Source organism: Homo sapiens, chromosome 1 (assembly GCF_000001405.40).
Source record: "Homo sapiens chromosome 1, GRCh38.p14 Primary Assembly".
NCBI classification, from domain to species: Eukaryota; Metazoa; Chordata; class Mammalia; order Primates; family Hominidae; genus Homo; species Homo sapiens.
In genome coordinates this window covers 148,101,495-148,116,445 of record NC_000001.11, presented here as the reverse complement: position 1 = coordinate 148,116,445, position 14,951 = coordinate 148,101,495, and the positions used below count along the sequence as shown (strand labels likewise).

Sequence of the window (14,951 nt, the reverse complement as noted above, 5' to 3'; positions counted from 1 at the left end):
GGAACAATTAATGGATGGTAACATATGAAGAATATCTAGGAGGCACACCCTCTCTGGCATGTATGATGGGCCAAAAACCCGCATTCGCTTGGCCACAGTATGTGAAATATAACCCAGCTTAGACACAGGGTGCGGCAGCTGTCATGTTTCTCTATGTGTGCCGAGTGTCATGTCTGCACCGTACAGGGATAGCTGAGTCTTCATCCTCCTCAGCTCCTATCTGTCCAGTGCAATGAACAGCAGCTGCTCTCTTCCTCTCTGGTTCCCATGGCAGCCATGCTCTGTTGCAGACAGAACAGGATTGCATGTTCCCTCTTAATGGGAACGTCCATTTTGCTTTCTGGGACCACTCTCTTAATGCCGCCTGTCAAAACCAGCTAGGACTCCCTGGGGTCCAATCCCTCTGTGTTTAATCTTCTGTCATCTCTGTCCCACCTGGCTCATCAGGGAGATGCAGAAGGCTGAAGAAAAGGAAGTCCCTGAGGACTCACTGGAGGAGTGTGCCATCACTTGTTCAAATAGCCATGGCCCTTATGACTCCAACCAGCCACATAGAAAAACCAAAATCACATTTGAGGAAGACAAAGTCGACTCAACTCTCATTGGCTCATCCTCTCATGTTGAATGGGAGGATGCTGTACACATTATCCCAGGTAGCCTCTGTTTTCCTTGTGTCTCATACCTCTCTCTAGGCTGAGGAAGATAAACTCTGAAGACAGGCTCTATAAACACAAATTCATTTGAATAAAAAACTGTGATGGGTTTCTAAACAGATATCAGGGAGTTTTTTTGTCCTTCTCAGCTAATGTCATGCCTTTGTTTGCCAGTCCCCAGTATCAAGTTACTCGACCCCAGGCAAGTGTGACAATCTCATAGTCACCTCAGTGCAGGAGGTGCACAGGCAGTATCTGTCAGGCCTCCTAACTTCGATTCAGTATCTCTTGTCATCTGTGATTTAGTCATCTGTCCCTGAACAATGTCCATGGAGTTTCTATGCCTGTTTAAGGAACCTGGCAGCCTTGCCTTTGTATTTGGAAATATTTTTCCCCAGGTTTCACTGCTCTCAGCTTTCATCTGGATCTCCTTTAAGTCAGCTTGCTTAGCTGCACAGTCACCCTGAAATCAGGATGGAAACTTTTCTTCTTTACTTTGCTGATATATTTCCATAAAGCAAGGCTGGACCCTGGTTCTCCACCCTGTCAATGCAATGGCTGATCCAATGTTTCTTTGTAGCGTCGTAGATTTTTTTTTTTTTTTTTTTTTTTTTTTTTTTTTTTTTTTGTGATGGAGTCCTGCTCTGTCACCTAGGCTGGAGTGCAGTGGCACCATCTTGACTTGGTGCAACCTCTGCCTCCCAGATTCAAGTGATTCTCCTGCCTCAGCCTCCTGAGTTGCTGGGACCACAGGTGCACAACATCACATCTGGCTAATTTTTGTATTTTTAGTAGAGACAGGGTTTCCCCATATTGGCCAGGGTAGTCCTGAACTCATGACCTCAAATGATTCACCTGTCTTGGCCTCCCAAATCACAGATGCTTTTTAAAGCAAGAGTTGTTCAAATTTATCTATCAGTCGTGTTTCATGTATAGATGCCTCTAAACATTTAATGTCCATGTTACCTGGTGATATAAGTCCGTATTGCAGCAACACTCTTAGAAAATTGTTTGACCAATTTTTGGAGATTTTTTTGGGGAAAAAATTTTGTTTAACTTTGACTCAGGCAGGGAATATGGCATTATGGTCTACACGTAGAGGGAGATTTTGGCCTGTGGGTCTGGAAAGCAGGGTCATCTAATTCTCACCAAAGTTAATCTAGGGCACCCTAGAATATTCCTGTCAGAATCCTTATTCTTGCACTGAGAATAGTTATGTCCTTGTGCTATGACTGGACAGTGATTTGTTCATATGTGAAGTATGAATTGCTTAATGTGACCTGCTTCTCTGAATTTATTTACAGAAAATGAAAGTGATGATGAGGAAGAGGAAGAAAAAGGGCCAGTGTCTCCCAGGTAATGTTGTGGAATTGTTGGCTGTTAATTCAGTAGTGACATCTGGAGATTGTAGATTTAGGGAAAATGAGGAAGTGATGAATAGAACTATTTCTTCCATTCACCCAGCTACAAATTGTGCTGATTTACAATGTTGTATGTCATTTGTGGCACTTGTGTTGGTTTTAATTTCATAGTCCTCTCAAGATAGGAACTTGCCATCAGATGAGCCAGGTGAACTAGCCAAACAGGGTTTTCTTGTTGATCTTTTCAAAAAACCAGCCCTGGATTCATTGATTTTTTGAAGGGTTTTTTGTGTCTCTATCTCCTTTAGTTCTGCTCTGATCTTAGTTACTTCTTGTCTTCTGCTAGCTTTTGAATTTGTTTGCTTTGCTTCTCTAGTTATTTTAATTGTGATGTTAGGGTGTCAATTTTAGATCTTTTCTGCTTTCTCTTGTGGGCATTTAGTGCTATAATTTTCCCTCTACACATTGCTTTAAATGTGTCCCAGAGATTCTGGTATGTTGTGTCTTTGTTCTCATTGGTTTCAAAGAACATCTTTATTTCTGCCTTCATTTTGTTATTTTCCCAGTAGTCATTCAGGAGCAGGTTGTTGAGTTTCCATGTAGTTGTGCAGTTTTCAGTGAGTTTCTTAATCCTGAGTTCTAATTTGATTGCACTGTGGTCTGACAGTTTGTTGTGATTTCCATTCTTTTACATTTGCTGACGAGTGCTTTACCTCCAACTATGTGGTCAATTTTGGAATAAGTGTGATGTGATGCTGAGAAGAATGTATATTCTGTTGATTTGGGGTGGAGAGTTCTGTAGATGTCTTTTAGGTCTGCTTGGTGCAGAGCTGAGTTCAAGTCCTGGATATCCTTGTTAAGCTTCTGTCTCATTGATCTGTCTAATATTGACAGTGGGGTGTTAAAGTCTCCCATGATGATTGTGTGGAGTCTAAATCTCTTTGTAGGTCTCTCAGGACTTGCTTTATGAATCTGGGTGCTCCTGTATAGGGTGCATATATATTTAGGATAGTTAACTCTTCTTGTTGAATTGATCCCTTTACCATTATGTAGTGGCCTTCTTTGTCTCTTTTGATCTTTGTTGGTTTAAAGTCTGTTTTATCAGAGACTAGGATTGCAACCCCTGCGTTTTTTTGCTTTCCATTTGCTTGGTAGATCTTCCTCCATCCCTTTATTTTGAGCCTATGTGTGTCTCTGCATGTGAGATGGGTTTTCTGAGTACAGCACACTGATGGGTCTTGACTCTTTATCCAATTTGCCATTCTGTGTTTTTTAACTGGGGCATTTAGCCCCTTTACATTTAAGGTTAATATGGTTATGTGTGAATTTGATCCTGTCGTTATGATGTTTGCTGGTTATTTCACCCGTTAGTTGATGCAGTTTCTTCCTAGCGTCAATGGTCTTTAGAGTTTGGCATGTTTTTGCAGTGGCTGGTACCGGTTGTTCCTTTCCATGTTTAGTGCTTCCTTTAGGAGCTCTTTTTGGGCAGGCCTGGTGGTGACAAAATCTCTCAGCATTTGCTTCTCTGTAAAGGATTTATTTCTCCTTCACTTATGAAGCTTTGTTTGGCTGGATATGAAATTCTTGGTTGAAAATTCTTTTCTTTAAGAATGTTGAAGGTGCTGGAGAGGATGTGGAGAAATAGGAACACTTTTACACTGTTGGTGGGACTGTAAACTAGTTCAACGATTGTGGAAGGCAGTGTGGCAATTCCTCAGGGATCTAGAACTAGAAATACCATTTGACCCAGCCATCCCATTACTGGGTGTATACCCAAAGGATTATAAATCATGCTGCTGTAAAGACACATGCACACATATGTTTATTGCGGCTCTATTCACAATAGCAAAGACTTGGAACCAAGCCAAATATCCAGCAATGATAGACTGGATTAAGAAAATGTGGCACATATACACCATGGAATACTATGCAGCTATAAAAAATGATGAGTTCATGTCCTTTGTAGGGGCATGGATGAAGCTGGAAACCATCATTCTCAGCAAACTATTGCAAGGACAAAAAACCAAATACCGCATGTTCTTACTCACAGGTGGGAATTGAACAATGAGAACACATGGACACAGGAAGGGGAACATCACACACTGGGGCCTGTTGTAGGGTGGGGGGAGGGAGGAGGGGTAGCATTAGGAGATATACCTAATGTTAAATGATGAGTTAATGGGTGAAGCACACCAATGTGGACATGTATACATATGTAACTAAGCTGCACGTTGTGCACGTGTACCCTAAGACTTAAAGTATTAAAATATATATATATACATACACACAAAAAATAATAAAGGAAAACTATACATATGGAAAAAAAAGAATGTTGAATATTGCTCCCACTCTCTTCTGGCTTGTAGGGTTTGTGCCAAGAGATCTGCTGCTAGTCTGATGGGCTTCCCTTTGTGGGTAATCCGACCTTTCTCTCTGGCTGCCCTTAGCATTTTTTCCTTCATTTCAACCTTGGTGAATCTGACAATTATGTGTCCTGGGGTTGCTCTTCTCGAGGAGTATCTTTATGGTGTTCTCTGTGTTTCCTGAATTTGAATGTTGGCCTTCCTTGCTAGGTTGGGGAAGTCCTCCTGGATAATATCCTGAAGAATGTTTCCCAGCTTGGTTCCATTCTCCCCGTCACTTTCAGTACACCAATCAAACGTAGATTTGGTCTTTTCACATAGTCCCATATTTATTGGAGGCTTGTTCATTTCTTTTTACTCTTTTTTCTCTAAATTTCTCTTCTCGCTTCATTTCACTAATTTGATCTTGAATCACTGATACCGTTTCTTGCACTTGATCGAATTGGCTACTGAAGCTTGTGCATGCATCACGTAGTTTTCGTGCCATGGTTTTCAGCTCCATCAGGTCATTTAAGGTCTTCTCTACACTGTTCATTCTGGTTAGCCATTCGTCTAATCTTTTTTTAAGGTTTTTAGCTTCCTTGCGATGAGTTCGCACATCCTCCTTTAGCTCAGAGAAGTTTGTTATTACCGACTTTCTGAAGCCTACTTCTGTCAGCTCGTCAAAGTCATTCTCTATCCTGCTTTGTTCCATTGCTGGCGAGGAGCTGCGATCCTTTGGAGGAGAAGGGATGTCAGGTTTTTGGAATTTTCAGCTTTTGTGCTCTGGTTTCTCCCCACCTTTGTGGTTTTATCTACCCTTGGTCTTTGATGATGGTGACCTACAGATGGGGTTTTGGGGTGGATGTCTTTTTTGTTGATGTTGATGCTATCCCTTTCTGTGTGTTAGTTTTCCTTCTAACAGTCAGGTCCCTCAGCTTCAGGTCTGTTGGAGTTTGCTGGAAGTCCACTCCAGACCCTCAAACAGAGATTTCTTGGTGTCGCCTATTCTCTCCCATGTGTTTAAATCCAGGGAGAGATGTATATATGCTTTCTTCCCATTTGTTGGTAGTATGTTGGCTAGTATTTTTGCAAGAAAAGAAATTGAAAAAGTAAATATATTATATCAAAATATTGGGAAAATGGGGCCCTTAATACACAAGATCTGTGTCTGCACTGCGTCAAGAACTCTCTTCACTTGAATGCTGCGTGTAAAATTCAACCCAATTTATGCAAAGTAGTTGAAGCCCTGTGTCAGTTCTCTGTGCTGCAAGTCATGATGGTAGTTTACAGGGAGAGTCTGGGTGCCCTGAGTTGGCTCATCTGTGGCAAATGTACTGAGCACATGCTGCCCATTTTTGCTCTGTCCCCAGAGCAGTCACCCTCCACCCTGTATTTAGAAGGATAGTTTTATTTCTCTTGAAGGAAAAATGCCTTTGGTTTCTGTGACCACTCCATTCTGTCTCCCATCAGATCATCTGGGAGGTTTTGTTGTCTAATGTCTGTTGGTTAAATCTTCTATCATCCCTGTCCTGCCTGGCTCATCAGGAATCTGCAGGAGTCTGAAGAGGAGGAAGTCCCCCAGGAGTCCTGGGATGAAGGTTATTCGACTCTCTCAATTCCTCCTGAAAGGTTGGCCTCGTACCAGTCTTACAGCAGCACATTTCACTCATTAGAGGAACAGCAAGTCTGCATGGCTGTTGACATAGGCAGTGAGTACTCCATTGTGAAGGTGATAAAGCTCCAGTTCATGGCCCAGGTAGACCCCATAATCTTTGGGCCTTGTGCCCCTGGTTGGGCTGAGAGTTGCCATCACTGTGGGCTGAACCTATATATCAATGTAGATTTCAATCACTCTGGAGTCGAGTCTGAAGCACAGGCATGGGGTGGGTCAGTGAGCTTTGCTCTCTTCCTAGTCTCAGGCCATGCCCATGCCAACCTGGACTGACTGTCACGACATTGAACTCAAGGCAGGTGTGGCAAACTCACACCAAACTGTGCAGCACATGCCCAGGAGTTGTCTGTCAGATCAGCTCATCTGAATTAAATGTCTCTTGCCAGCTACAAAATTCCTTATGAGTTTTGTTCCCAAAGCATGTCTGTGTGGTTCTTTACCTGCCCAAGGCCAGTGTCACCCTTGTCTACCTCTCAGTGAAAGATGTGACCCAGGTTTCACTGAATTTATCCCCATTTTCTGTGTCTTCTAAGTTCGCTTGTTTTAGCTCATCTGTCCGTCATGTTCCTGGTATGTTTTCTAGATAAATGGCTTACTTTTCACCCACAAAAGCCATAATAGCTGATGCTTCTGTGTAGAACCAAGTTTCATTTTGACTCAAGAGCTGGTACATTGCACCCCTTCATCAAATCTCTGTGTCCACAATCTCATAAACTATCAAATTCTGGGTATTTGATGAGAGAAAGCTTAATATTGAAGTATCTCTCCTATGAGGTGTTAGAACTATTTGCCTACAATTTATTGGGGAAAAAATTGCTCATTTGTGTACATAAACCTAGGACAGAGCACATAGGGAAAATAACATTCCAACACAGGGGAATTTTGCCCAAGGCTCATGAAAGAACCCAAGCCAGTTTTCTCAAGACTTGACCTCAGGCCTACTGGAATATTTCTCTCAAAGTCTCCTGTTTTCACACTGACAAGACTGATGTCCCTGTGTTAGGATTGGACAGAGGAATGTTTCTGTGTGCAAGGAAGAACTGCTTAATGTAAGAGGCCCCATCTGAATTTATTTGCAGGACATCGGTGGGATCAAGTGAAAAAGGAGGACCAAGAGGCAACAGGTCCCAGGTGAGTCTGAGAAATTGTGGACAGTTAATTTGATGTTGACACCTGGAGATGCCAAGTCCAGGGAAAACAGTACACGCTGAAAATCATGATTTTGTCTTGTCAGACAAGTCTGAATTATGCCTACTGCATTGTTTTTTGGTTCTCATTAGAGTAAATGTTTAGGTTTCCATTTCTTCCTACCCTTATCATTTACTAACCTAGTGAAGGTTGACCATACCTCAAAAGCTGTATTCTCATGGTGACTGCAGGGAAACTTGAGCACATTTTATGCAAAATTATTGAGGCCATGCTTTTCATGATCACTGTTCACTGTGTGTCCTGAGAGCACAAATACAGAGTGTCCTTTGACTCCCTCATCAGTGTGTCACCTGGCCAATTGACTGAGCTCACACTGTGTGTGTGTGTGTGTGTGTGTGTGTGTGTGTGTGTGTGTGTGTGTGTCTTTCTCTTTCATCCTTTTCTACCTGGCCCTAGTCTATCCCAACATAAAGGCAATAATTTGTTACCTCATTAATGGATCTGTCCTTTTTCTTTTCAAACTCTTCCTCATGTTAGCCATGAAATCTAGCTGGGGCTGTGTGGTTTCTGATTCCCCCTGGCTTATTCTTTACTTTTTCCCACTTTTCCAGGCTCAGCAGGGAGCTGCTGGATGAGAAAGAGCCTGAAGTCTTGCAGGACTCACTGGATAGATGTTATTCAACTCCTTCAGTTTATCTTGGACTGACTGACTCATGCCAGCCCTACAGAAGTGCCTTTTACGTATTGGAGCAACAGCGTATTGGCTTGGCTGTTGACATGGATGGTGAGTACCTTTCTATGAAGGTGATAAGGATCCACTGAGTCTTCTGTTTAGGGTCATATTCCTACTGCAAGTGGCCCTTACTGAGCTGAGAGATGTCATTGCCACAGGGAGGACCTATAGGCACATGTAGGTTGAGTGAAACTCTAGTTCCACTTGGAAGCCCAGACAAGGGATGGGTCAGTGAGCAAGGCTCTCTTCCTAGTCTCAGGCCATGCCTGTGGCACCCTAATCCTACTCTCAAGATGTTGGATCTGGGCAGATGTGACAAATTCACACAACTCTGATTTTGTCTCAATTCTGTAGATCTTGTAGATTTCATCCTTCACTCTACTTTCAGCATCTAAAATCCTCACTACCATGAACAATCTGAGTATTTGATGAGACAGGGCTGAATAGTGCAGTTTTTCTCCTAGCAACCATTTGGGGGCATTTGCTTTAAATCGATTGGAAAAATATGGCATAACCATTTGCACAAACTTGGGACAAATGATATTGGGATAACGATCTACCAGAATAGGGAAGTTTACCCACAGTTTCTGGGACAAAAACCAAGGAATCTCTATCATGATCAGCCTTCAGGCCTCCTGAAGAATATCTCTCACAGTGTCCTATTCTCATGCTGAGGAGCCTGAAGTCCCTGTGTGAGGATTAGACAGTGGATTGTTATGTGTGTAGGAGAACCAGCTTCATATGTCTGTCCATGTCTGAACTTATTGCAGAAATTGAAAAGTACCAAGAAGTGGAAGAAGACCAAGACCCATCATGCCCCAGGTAACTTTGAGCAATTATGGATGCTTAATTCTGTGTTGACACCTGGAGATGCCAGGTCCAGGGAAAACAAGAGTGTGTTCAATTTCATGTTTTCCACGAAGGTTGAATTACTCCCACTGACATTGCTGTTGGTTTTCATTGCAGTAGATGTTTAGGTTTCCATTTCTTCCTCCCCTTGTCATTTACTAACTTACTATAGGTTGACCATACCTCAAAGGCCGTATGGCAACTGCATGGAATCTTGAGCAAGTTTATGGAAAATTATTGAGCCCACTCTTTTCATGATCACTGTTCGCTGTGTGTCCCGAGGGCACTAACTCAGAGTGTCCTTTGACCCCTTCATCAGTGTGTCACCCGGCCAATTCGCTGAGCTCACTTTCTCCTCTCTCTCTCTCTCCCTCTCCCTGTCTTTCTCTTTCATTCTTTTCTACCTGGCCCTGGTCTATCCCAACATAAAGGCAATAATTCATTACCTCATTAATGGATCTGTCCTTTTTCTTTTTAAACAGTTCCTTATGTTAGCCATGAAATCTAGCTGGGGCTGTGTGGTTTCTGATTCCCCCTGGCTTATTCTTTACTTTTTCCTACTTTTCCAGGCTCAGCAGGGAGCTGCTGGCTGAGAAAGAGCCTGAAGTCTTGCAGGACTCACTGGATAGATGTTATTCGACTCCTTCAGGTTATCTTGAACTGCCTGACTTAGGCCAGCCCTACAGAAGTGCTGTTTACTCATTGGAGGAACAGTACCTTGGCTTGGCTCTTGACGTGGACAGTGAGTACCTTACTATGAAGGTGATAAGCCTCCACCTGGCCTTCCAGATAGGGGTGATATTCCTGTTCCAAGTGGCCCTTACTGACCCGAGAGACTTCATTGCCACAGGCAGGACCTATGGGTGCATATAGGTTGTAATGAAACTGTAGTCTCAGCTGGAAGCCTAGACATGAAATGGGTCAGTGAGCAAGGCTCTATTCCTAGTCTCCAGCCATGCCTATGGCAACCTGAGCCCACTCTCAGCACATTGGACCCAGGCAGATGTAAAAAATTCACAGAACTATGATTTGGACTCAAGGGTTTGTAGATTTCCTCCTTCATTGTAATTTCAGTGTCTAAAATTCTTGCATCCGTGAACGAGCTGGGCATTTGATGAGACAGGGCTGAATACTTTAGTTTTCCTCCTAGAAATCCTCTGGGGCATTTTCTTTGAACTGATGGGAACAATAAGGCATAACTGTTTGCACAAACTTGGGATAAATGATTTTGGGATAACGATCTACCAGAATAGGGATATTTCACCCTTGGTTCTGAGATGCAAACCAAAGAATATCATGACCAGCTTTCAGGCCTCCTGAAGTATATCCCTCACATTGTCCTGTTCTCATGCTGAGGAGCCTGAGATCCCTGTGTGGGGATTAGACAGTGGACTGTTATGGGTGTAGGTGAATTGGCTTATTTTGTCTGTCCCTGTCTGAATGTATTGCAGGAATTAAAAAGGACCAAGAAGAGGAAGAAGACCAAGGCCCACCGTGCCCCAGGTAACTGAGCAATTGTGAACAGCTACTTCTGTGTTGACATCTGGAGACTCCTGGTTCAGGGAAAACAGAGCGGGCTGACATTATCGATTACATCTTTTCAACCAAGCCTGAATTATTCCTACTAACATTGCTGTTGGTTTTCATTGCAGTAGATATTTAGGTTTCCATTTCTTCCTCCCCTTATCATTTACTAACCTACTGCAGGTGGACCAGACTTCAAAAACTGTATTCTCATGGTGACTGCATGGAAACTTGAGCACATTTTATGGAAAATTATTGAGCACAGTCTTTTCATGATCACTGTATGCTGTGTGTCCTGAGGGCACTAACTCAGAGTGTCCTGTTACTCCCTCATCAGTGTGTCACCTGGACAATTCACTGAGCTCGTTTTCTCTCTCTCTCTCAGTGTGTGTGTGTGTCTTTGTGTGTGTGTTTGTGTGTGTGTGTGTGTGTGTGTGTCTGTCTTTCTCTTTCATTCTTTTCCATTTGGCCCTGTTCTGTCCCAACATGAAGGCAATAATTTGTTACCTCATTAATAGATCTATCCTTTTACTTTTTTAACCACTTCCTTATGCTACCCATGAAACCTAGTTGGGGCTCTGTTGTGTGTGATTTCCCCTGGCTTATTCTTTACTTTTTCCTCCTTTTCCAGGCTCAGCAGGGAGCTGCTGGAGGTAGTAGAGCCTGAAGTCTTGCAGGACTCACTGGATGTTATTCAACTCCTTCCAGTTGTCTTGAACAGCCTGACTCCTGCCAGCCCTACGGAAGTTCCTTTTATGCATTGGAGGAAAAACATGTTGGCTTTTCTCTTGACGTGGGAGGTGAGTACCTTTCTATGAAGGTGATAAGGATCCACTGAGTCTTCCATATAAAGATCATATTCCTGCTCCAAGTGGCCATTACTGAGCTGAGAGATGTCATTGCCGCAGTGAGGACCTATAGGCACATGTAGGTTGAATGAAACTCTAGTTCTACCTGGAAGCCCAGACATGGGATGGGTCAGTGAGCATGGCTCTCTTCCTAGTCTCAGGCCATGCCTGTGGCACTCTGATTCTACTCTCATGACATTGGACCTGGGCAGATGTGACAAATTCAGAGAACTATGATTTTGACTCGAGGGTTTGTAGATTTCCTTTTTCACTCTAATTTCAGTGTCTGGAGTCCTCACAACCATGAACAATCTGAGTATTTGATGAGACAGGGCTAAATATTGCAGTTTTTCTCCTAGAAATCATTTGAGGGTATTTGCTTTAAATTGATTGGAAAAATAAGGCATAACTGTTTGCACAAACTTGGGACAAATGATATTGGGATAATGATCTACTAGAATAGGGACATTTTACCCAGAGTTTCTGGGAGAAAAACCGAGGAATTTCTATCACGACCAGCCTTCAGGCCTCCTGAAATATATCTCTCACAGTGTCCTATTCTTATGCTGAGGAGCCTGAGGTCCCTGTGTGAGGATTAGACAGTGGATTGTTATGTGTGTAGGGGAATCAGCTTAATGTGTCTGTCCATGTCTGAATTTATTGCAGAAATTGAAAAGAAGGGGAAGGGGAAGAAAAGAAGGGGAAGAAGATCAAAGAAGAAAAGAAGAAGGGGAAGAAAAGAAGGGGAAGAAGATCAAAACCCACCATGCCCCAGGTAACTTTCAGCAATTGTGGATGCTTAATTCTGTGTTAACACCTGGAGGCAACAGATTCAGGGAAACCAGAGTGTGTTTGATGTCATGTTTTCAACGAAGGCTGAATTACTCCTACTGTCATTGTTGTTGGTTTTCATTGCAGTAGATGTTTAGGTTTCCATTTCTTCCTCCCCTTATCATTTACTAACGTACCATAGGTGGACCATACTTCAAAAGCTGTACTCTCATGGCCACTGCATCGAATTTTGAGCATATTTTATGGAAAACTATTGAGCTCACTCTTTTCATGATCACAGTTTGCTGTGTGTCATGAGGGCACTAAGTCAGAGTGTCCTTTGACTCCCTTACCAGTATGTCACCTGGCCAATTCACTAGCTCACTTTCTCTCTGTCTCTGTCTCTGTCTCTGTCTCTGTCTCTGTCTCTCTCTCTCTGTCTTTCTCTTTCATTGTTTTCTACCTGGCCCTGTTCTATCCCAACATAAAGGCAATAATTTGTTACCTCATTAATGGATCTGTCCTTTTTCTTTTCCAACCACTTCCTTATGTTACTTCTGAAATCTAGTGGGGCTCTGTGGTGTCTGATTTTCCCTGGCTGCTTCTTTAGTTTTGTCTCCTTTTCCAGGCTCAGCAGCGTGCTGATGGAAGTGGAAGTGCCTGAAGTCTTACAGGACTCACTGGATAGATATTATTCGACTCCATCAATGTACTTTGAACTACCTGACTCATTCCAGCACTACAGAAGTGTGTTTTACTCATTTGAGGAACAGCACATCAGCTTTGCCCTTGACATGGACAATAGGTTTTTTACTTTGACGGTGAGAAGTCTCCACCTGGTCTTCCAGATGGGAGTCATATTCCCACAATAAGCAGCCCTTACTAAGCCGAGAGGTGTCATTCCTGCAGGCAGGACCTATAGGCACCTGAAGATTTGAATGAAACTATAGTTCCATTTGGAAGCCCAGACATAGGATGGGTCAGTGGGCATGGCTCTATTCCTATTCTCAGAGCATGCCAGTGGCAACCTGTGCTCAGTCTGAAGACAATGGACCCACGTTAGGTGTGACACGTTCACATAACTGTGCAGCACATGCCGGGAGTGATCAGTCGGACATTTTAATTTGAACCACGTATCTCTGGGTAGCTACAAAATTCCTCAGGGATTTCATTTTGCAGGCATGTCTCTGAGCTTCTATACCTGCTCAAGGTCAGTGTCATCTTTGTGTTTAGCTCATCCAAAGGTGTTACCCTGGTTTCAATGAACCTAACCTCATTCTTTGTGTCTTCAGTGTTGGCTTGTTTTAGCTGATCCATCTGTAACACAGGAGGGATCCTTGGCTGAGGATTGTATTTCAGAACCACCAACTGCTCTTGACAATTGTTAACCCGCTAGGCTCCTTTGGTTAGAGAAGCCACAGTCCTTCAGCCTCCAATTGGTGTCAGTACTTAGGAAGACCACAGCTAGATGGACAAACAGCATTGGGAGGCCTTAGCCCTGCTCCTCTCAATTCCATCCTGTAGAGAACAGGAGTCAGGAGCCGCTGGCAGGAGACAGCATGTCACCCAGGACTCTGCCGGTGCAGAATATGAGCAATGCCATGTTCTTGCAGAAAACGCTTAGCCTGAGTTTCATAGGAGGTAATCACCAGACAACTGCAGAATGTAGAACACTGAGCAGGACAACTGACCTGTCTCCTTCACATAGTCCATATCACCACAAATCACACAACAAAAAGGAGAAGAGATATTTTGGGTTGAAAAAAAGTAAAAAGATAATGTAGCTGCATTTCTTTAGTTATTTTGAACCCCAAATATTTCCTCATCTTTTTGTTGTTGTCATGGATGGTGGTGACATGGACTTGTTTATAGAGGACAGGTCAGCTGTCTGGCTCAATGATCTACATTCTGAAGTTGTCTGAAAATGTCTTCATAATTAAATTCAGCCTAAACTTTTTGACGGGAACACTGCAGAGACAATGCTGTGAGTTTCCAACCTCAGCCCATCTGCGGGCAGAGAAGGTCTAGTTTGTCCAACACCATTATGATATCAGGACTGGTTACTTGGTTAAGGAGGGGTCTAGGAGATCTGTCCCTTTTAGAGACACCTTACTTATAATGAAGTACTTGGGAAAGTGGTTTTCAAGAGTATAAATATCCTGTATTCTAATGATCATCCTCTAAACATTTTATCATTTATTAATCCTCCCTGCCTGTGTCTATTATTATATTCATATCTCTACGCTGCAAATTTTGGGTCTCAATTTTTACTGTGCCTTTGTTTTTACTAGTGTCTGCTGTTGCAAAAAGAAGAAAACATTCTTTGCCTGAGTTTTAATTTTTGTCCAAAGTTAATTTTAATCTATACAATTAAAACCTTTTGCCTATCACTCTGGACTTTTGGATTGTTTTTTACATTCAGTGTTATAATATTTGATTATGCTGATTGGTTTTGGTGGGTACTGATGCGAATTAATAAAAACATTTCATTTCCATGTTTATTTTCTAATCTCTTCCACATTGTAGGCTATGTTTACCATACGTAGCAGAATGTATTTACATTTCTTGGTTCTAGTCATTTGTATTCTTCGTGAGTGTGTGTGTGTGTGTGTGTCTGTGTGTGTGTCTGTGTGTGCCTTTGGCATTTAGGAAGGGTTGTATAGCTCATGTTAAATATTGCACTAAAAATGTTTTTGATGGTTTTCCTCCCTTTGAACTAGACACACTTCTAATATTTGGTTTATAGTTTTAAATTATAACTTTCAGCATCAAATATTTCCATACAACAGTCAATTACATGATGTGTTTTCTTTTTCCTACCTCCTTTACCTGCCACTTCTCATAATAGTATTTGAACCTAAACATATACCGGTGACATTCTGTGATTATCATCCTGCCCCTACCTTGGTTTTTATCCATTGTGGTTTAGATCCATAATGAAATATATTAACGCTCATGAGCTATTCAAAAGTGAATGTCACTGTCATCACTTGCTGAGTGGTACTCATCCTTAACAGAGTCCTCATGAGGGAATCAGGTCTCGCTG

The 14,951-nt window shown here is 42.5% G+C and overlaps 1 protein-coding gene across 19 annotated transcripts in view; it reads left to right on the top strand.

The window, feature by feature from the left end:
- The window catches only part of NBPF11 (NBPF member 11), a 50,131-nt gene extending 35,836 nt beyond the window's left edge, over window positions 1-14,295 (top strand). For 15 of the 19 annotated variants that reach the window (NM_001385468.3, NM_001385480.1, NM_001101663.5 and 12 more), the window contains 11 exons: window positions 448-653; window positions 1,958-2,009; window positions 5,905-6,068; window positions 7,111-7,162; window positions 7,792-7,964; window positions 8,684-8,735; window positions 9,332-9,504; window positions 10,214-10,265; window positions 10,918-11,086; window positions 11,801-11,909; window positions 12,534-14,295. In NM_001385468.3, the coding sequence (NP_001372397.2) occupies window positions 448-653; window positions 1,958-2,009; window positions 5,905-6,068; window positions 7,111-7,162; window positions 7,792-7,964; window positions 8,684-8,735; window positions 9,332-9,504; window positions 10,214-10,265; window positions 10,918-11,086; window positions 11,801-11,909; window positions 12,534-12,550 (1,219 nt within the window). In that variant the 3' untranslated portion in view covers window positions 12,551-14,295. Of the gene's footprint in view, window positions 1-447; window positions 654-1,957; window positions 2,010-5,904; window positions 6,069-7,034; window positions 7,163-7,791; window positions 7,965-8,683; window positions 8,736-9,331; window positions 9,505-10,213; window positions 10,266-10,917; window positions 11,087-11,800; window positions 11,910-12,533 lie in introns of all 19 variants that reach the window. The other 4 variants (NR_169628.1, NR_169629.1, NR_046188.5 and 1 more) reach the window with 2 other exon arrangements.
- The last annotated feature ends 656 nt before the right edge of the window (window positions 14,296-14,951 follow it).